Source organism: Homo sapiens, chromosome 4 (genome assembly GCF_000001405.40).
Source record: "Homo sapiens chromosome 4, GRCh38.p14 Primary Assembly".
Classification (NCBI taxonomy): domain Eukaryota; kingdom Metazoa; phylum Chordata; class Mammalia; order Primates; family Hominidae; genus Homo; species Homo sapiens.
The window spans coordinates 48294348-48300472 of record NC_000004.12 but is presented as its reverse complement, the minus strand read 5'-3'; the positions used below and the strand labels follow the sequence as shown (position 1 = coordinate 48300472).

Below are 6125 nucleotides of genomic sequence, written 5' to 3'. Positions count from 1 at the left end.
GAGGCACGAGAATTGCTTGAACCCAGGAAGCAGAGGTTGCAGTGAGCCAAGATCATGCCACTGCACTCCAGCCTGGGCAGCAAAGCGAGACTGTCTCAAAAAAAAAAAAAGAAATTAAAATTAAATCAAAAATAAAATTGAGGTTAAGTATATATAATTATTTCACTAAGTAACACTTTTTCATGAACTGGATTCATCATAAATGTTAGATAGCCTAGTAATCTGATCCCAAATGGAATTTATTATATTCTATTATCCTTACATTCACTCATTCAACAAATATTTGAGTGCCTGTCTGTGCCAGAAATTTAAAGACTTCTAGTCTTTTTTAAAAAATAAACAATCTTCCATTAGCAATTTCATATGCTACATAGCAAGTTCAGAATTTTGTGATGCCTGAATTACAAACAAATATACAGAGTATTAAACCTCGGATATTTGTGCAGACAAATATGCTTGATAAATGACTTTGGAGACCCAGAAATGAGAATGGCTAGAACTAGGGATCCCCTCTCTCTGCAGCAGGAGGCCCTGCATCTAAACTCATCTTCCCACAAAGTCTCCAGATTTTGGGCAGCCAGCTTTCTCAGCACTCCCCAAAATAGCTGGCAATTAAGTTCAGACTGTCCAAGCAGTCCATTTGCCACTTTCATAATCACTTTGCTTAAAGAGAGAGTGCAATAGAGGGAATGGGGTCCCTCTCCTAGAGGATGGCTAGCACAGTGTCCCTAGCTGTTTCCTGGTTCACGCATGTCTTTTTAGAATGTTCAGCGAAGGAGGAACCATCCGCTGCTGACCTGTTTGCCTAGAATCCCAGCTTGCTCCAAGCCATCCCACACTTGTTCGCTGGAGTTCATTGCCTGGCAATATTCAAGTAAACATTGTTCTTGAGGTCTGTGGGAATCTTGGATCTGGCAGAGTTCTACTATCCCCTTCTAGTCTTCTCCTCAACTTCTCCATGACTTGCTGGAACTGCCAGAATTTCAGTCAGGATCATGAAGGCACATTATACTCTACCAGAGGCCCCTAAATCTCCCTGGAGGAGCTCCATTGCCAATACTTGTTTCCTAGCCCCACACAAACATGAACTGAAATGTGAGAGTTGAAGGAGGTGACCAGTTCTTAAACCCCATGGATTCCCCTTCAGTTTTTCTTCCCTATCCTCTACAGGTTTGTTCCTTCATTTGGTTTTTGGTGATGGGGATGTGGATGCACTTGCTTTCACATTTTTGTTTATAGCCTTACATCTGGATATTCCTTATAAACTTAAAAAGCTAGACTTCAGCATCTTTATTCTCACCCCCAGAACTGACCACTGCCTGACCCCACCTAGATGGTGGCCTCTTGTCCTGCAGCCCAAATGGGAGAGATTGCCATGAATAATGGTGGGGTGGGGAATAAAATAATTGGACTAACACCTCACAAAATCATTGCATCTCATATCTTCCAAATATTACGTTTTATGTGAAACAACAATTATGTCACAGGAAGTGAAGAATAGGAAAAATGTATTTATACCATGATTAAAGCTATATAAAATATAAAATAAAACTGTCTATAAACAAAATAAGACAGGGATGAAGAATACTAAATTGCTAATCTTGGCTATGTTTAGATGGTGGGGTTGGAGTGAGATTTTATCTCTGTGTTTTCCAAAATGCTTGTGGTTACTTTCATAAGTAGACGAAAAATTAATCTACTAAAACAAATAGAGAAAGGTCTTTTATTGCTTGCAGGTACATTTCCTTGAACAGACCTTGAATAATGAAGAAATAACCTAAATTTATAGATAAAGATCCCATTCTCCTGTGGTAAGCCCTTCTAGTGTTTTCATAAGGAAGTCTTCCTTCTATTTGTCATTAAATCTCTTCTGCTATGTTATTATAATGCCTTTATTTCTGGCTGAAATTTAAATTTGTTATTTAACTAATGTCATCACTGTGGTTAACCACAAAAGTATCTTTATGTATTATAAATAACATGTTAGCTATATTATTAGATGTTTATTGAAAGCATTACAAATCATGTAATCTGCCATCATAATGTATTAGAATAAATATAAACAGGGATCGAATTGTTTGTTTTTATGGTCTCTGTATCTATCAGTCTTCTTTGCACCTGGGAGATTCAATAAATGATTGTTAAGGGCCAGGTGTGGTGGATTACGCCTGTTATCCCAGCACTTTGGGAGGCCGAGGCAGGTGGATCACTTGAGCTCAGTAGTTCGAGACCAGTCTGGGCAACATGGCGAAACCCTGCCGCTATAAAAAATACAAATTAGCCAGTCATGATGGTAGGCATCTGTAGTCCTAGCTACTTAGGAGGCTAAAGTGGGAGGATTGCTTGGACCTGGGAGGTCAAGGCTGCAGTGAGCTGAGATTGCACCACTACACTCCTGCCTGGGCGACAGAGTGAGACCCCATCTCAAAAAAAAAAAAAAAAAAAAGATTGTTAAGCAAATATATTAAGTTAGGGAGATGTTAAAATTATTTTACTTATTTCTTAAGAATATAAATAATTCAAAATATCTTTATTTTTCAAAAATCTCTGGATTAAAATCCAGATCAAGACTTGTAGATATTTTTAAAAGAACTATCCTCATCTAAAATATGACAGATTTTGCCTGAAGAGCCACTAATCCTTTCATCATCTATAATTCTATTTTATGAAATTCTATTTTATGATTTCATAACTCATTGGCCTACAGATGGCAAAAAAATAACCAGTTATTTTTCATATCCTTTATTTTCAGAAAAACTGAAACACAAAACAGAACATGCATAATTAAGCAGACCTATATTGTCAATGGCAAACAGAGTTGAGCAATTCTGTGGCCTAGTGGATTCAGATAGCAGAGCTGTGTGACTAGTCTAAACAATTCTCACTCAAGATGACAGGGTGTATGCTATTTTTACATGTAGTGAGGATAACTTTAAAAAATGGATATATGCTTTAAATAGTCTTTTTCACACTCCATGTTGACTATGCACATGGCCTGAAATGAGAATTAGAGTACAGTATAAATACCATAGGAGCAGCTAATTGACAACCAACAGCTTTGAAAGCTTTGGATTGTAAAATTGCAAAACTTGCCAGGAGATAGAAGGGAAAACAGAAACCATTATCTAACCAAATGCTGCCAGTTCAGAGTTTTTCTTAGTTTCAGCAATGGCCCAAAGGAACGGCAATTCAGACCACGATGAATCTAGATGCATCTGTTGCAGTATGAAAGATCTTTCCTAGGACAGGGTAATCAATCTCTCTGAAGAGGTTGTGGGCAATTTTAGGGTCAATTAAGGAATCTCATTTAATATAAAATGACTAGGGATCCCTTTATATCATGAACTCAGGCTATGGAAACGCCAACGGCAGTGTTTTCCAAAGTGTGATGCCTGGGAGTATTTAACACAATGTTGTTTTCCCTGCTCACCCTTCTGTGAATGTACTACCATGGTATGCTCTAGATCTGGGGCCACTAGTCACACATGGCTATTAATCACTTGACAGTGATGAATCCAAAGTGAGGTGTGCTGTAGGTATAAAATATACACAAAAATGTGAAAGCTTAGTACAAAGAAGGCAAAACATCTTAATAATTTTTTTGTACCAATCACATGTTGAAGTGATAATATTTTGGATAAATTGGTTTAAATAAGATACCTTATTAACATTAATTTTGCCTATTTCTTTTTACCTCTTTCAATGTAGTTATTAGAACACTTTCGATTACACATGTGGCCTGCATGTGTGGCTCATCTTATATTTATATTGGATAGCTGCTGCTCTGGACAGACCACTTGGCAGAGCTCCTGTCCATCACAACATTCCACTCCCACAGCATGCTGGGAGTTACACCTGGGAGCACTAGAGAAAGCTCTAGCCCAAGCTGAGTGAGGAGGATTTATCTGATGGCCAACAGCAGGGGGATGCGTGAAGGAGCTAGGTGCTGAGTGCCTGGGGCTGAGTCGGAGGTCGAGATTGAAAGTGGACGAGGTAGAGGGAGGAAATAACACATCTTTGCACTTTCGGTTTCCTTACTAAGTGGATTTAAGTGAAAGAAGTGAGTAAATTTAAAAAATGTATTAATATAGTAGGTCTGTGGATTTGTAAATATAGCAATTGAAATTTGTTCTATACATCATTGTGACTGTTCACTTAATATTCTTTGAACAAAACCATTGACATCATTGTGACTGTTCACTTAATATTCTTTGAACAAAACCATTGACATCATTGTGACTGTTCACTTAATATTCTTTGAACAAAACCATTGACATCATTGTGACTGTTCACTTAATATTCTTTGAACAAAACCATTGATATATGTACATACCTATATTATGATATGACTCGCTGGTTTTTATTGTGAATTCTGAACTTTTCTATTTCATTCTAAACACAGCGGGGGGTTTATTTTCTCTATGATCTCAGGAGCTAGCTAGCTCTAGGTCATTCAAGGAAGGAGGGAAGCTAACTTCTCTGTCCCTCACTGTTCCCCTCTAACTTTACCTATACCTGAAGCAGTCAAATTCTCATGCTACTTTGCCATTTGACACTTAATCAAAATACCTACACTTAGGATCCATGATAGGAGCTGGTAATATCCTGAGTTGTCCATTCGAATGTTTCTATCAGCCTCAGAAGAGTTGATTGAGTTGCATTATGATGGAAGGATGTTCAATAGATAGGGTACAAGTCTTAAGATGTTTCTTTTTCTGTTAAAGTTAACAAAGCAGGAAATTACAAAGAGCAGACAGCCTCAGCCACATAGGATAAAAGGCTATTTTGAAAGTATAATTGAGTTCATTAGCTCATATTCCACAAAGTGAAATGTATTCATTTATTCACTCACTCAACAATGTGATGAGAGTCTCCTAGCTAGACACAAGAAGGTATACAGTAGGTGCTAATTTCATGAAATTTTGCAGGCAATTAAGAAGAAACCCCACAGAAGACAGTTTATAGTCCATATCTGAAAACTTCAAAACAGAGAAACTCAAAGTTTGCAAAGAGAGAAAGAAATTCCTTTTAAAGGAAAAAGATACTAATTTTTACCTCTTAAAAATGATTCAGAGGGCAGCCATCAGTTCTAGCATATTTCCTAATCATCACAACAATGTGTCTGGAAGGCCAAATTTTCCTGTGGGCTTTGTTACCACTATTGTTCAGAAGCCAAGAAATAAGTTGAACTAAGGGAGCCTAGCTTGGTTTTGGTCATGATGTTGTGTTACCAATGAGATGAAAACACATGCACTATTAGAAAAACAAACACAGCAAAAGGAAGTTCCTAACTTTTAAATTACTTGTATTTAAATTAGTCTTAGAGGAAAAGGGAAGGGAAGAGGCAAAAATTTCTTCCATTTTATAAACACATGTAATACAAAATCTCCTTAATTTGGAATTAATTTGGTTGAGCACTTCTGGGCGGGGACCTCTGGAGATGGCATGGAACATGCCTTGATCTCAGTTTCTCAGTTTCTTATGTAATCAGTTGTAGCTATCACTGAGTTCATAACACCAGAGTGTAAGACAGGTTATATTCCTTATTATTCTAAGCCGTATGTCACCCACTTTGAGCCCTCTTTTGCATATCTTGCAGGAAATCAAATCTCAGTTATTATTCAAGCCCTTTTACTCCCCTGCATGGAATCCTACAAGAATCACAGGCTTACACAGTTCCAGGAACATAGGGGCCCATACTTAGTCCATGGACAGACTTCATTTCCATTGATTCTTCTCCCTGATGTGGCTGCTGGTCGCTGGGACTCTGGTGGGCAAGACTGTGGTAAATGAAGTAGACCTTTGCTTGGTGCCTCTCAGAGCTCATTTGGAACCACATTTGAGTGGGGGCCTTAAAAGCTGCCATTCCTACAAGTCCCTCCAAACTCCAGACCCTATTTTCAGTCTAGGGGCAGGTTCTGTTTTAGGTTGGATTCCCCCAGAAGCAGAGCTTGAGTTAAGGACTTCTATGTGTCCAGTAGTAAGGGAGATCCCAGAAAGCAGGCATGAGATAGGAGGGGGAGTAAGCCAGGGAAGGAGGTCATGCCATTATGAGGGTGTGTTATGGATTATGGAGTGAATGCACTGTGCCACAGAGCTTTGATTCTGCTGAAACCTCCTGAGCA

At 38.4% G+C, this 6125-nt stretch overlaps 1 annotated feature.

Annotated features, from left to right (window-relative positions):
* Nucleotides 3613-4812: an enhancer, noted in NCBI's record as "P300/CBP strongly-dependent group 1 enhancer chr4:48297678-48298877 (GRCh37/hg19 assembly coordinates)". NCBI's record gives its function as "activates an origin of replication core promoter dependent on BRD2, BRD4, P300/CBP, MED14 and CDK7 cofactors, with strong dependence on P300/CBP, by STARR-seq in HCT116 cells {active_cell/tissue: HCT116}" and the evidence as "EXISTENCE:reporter gene assay evidence [ECO:0000049][PMID:35650434]".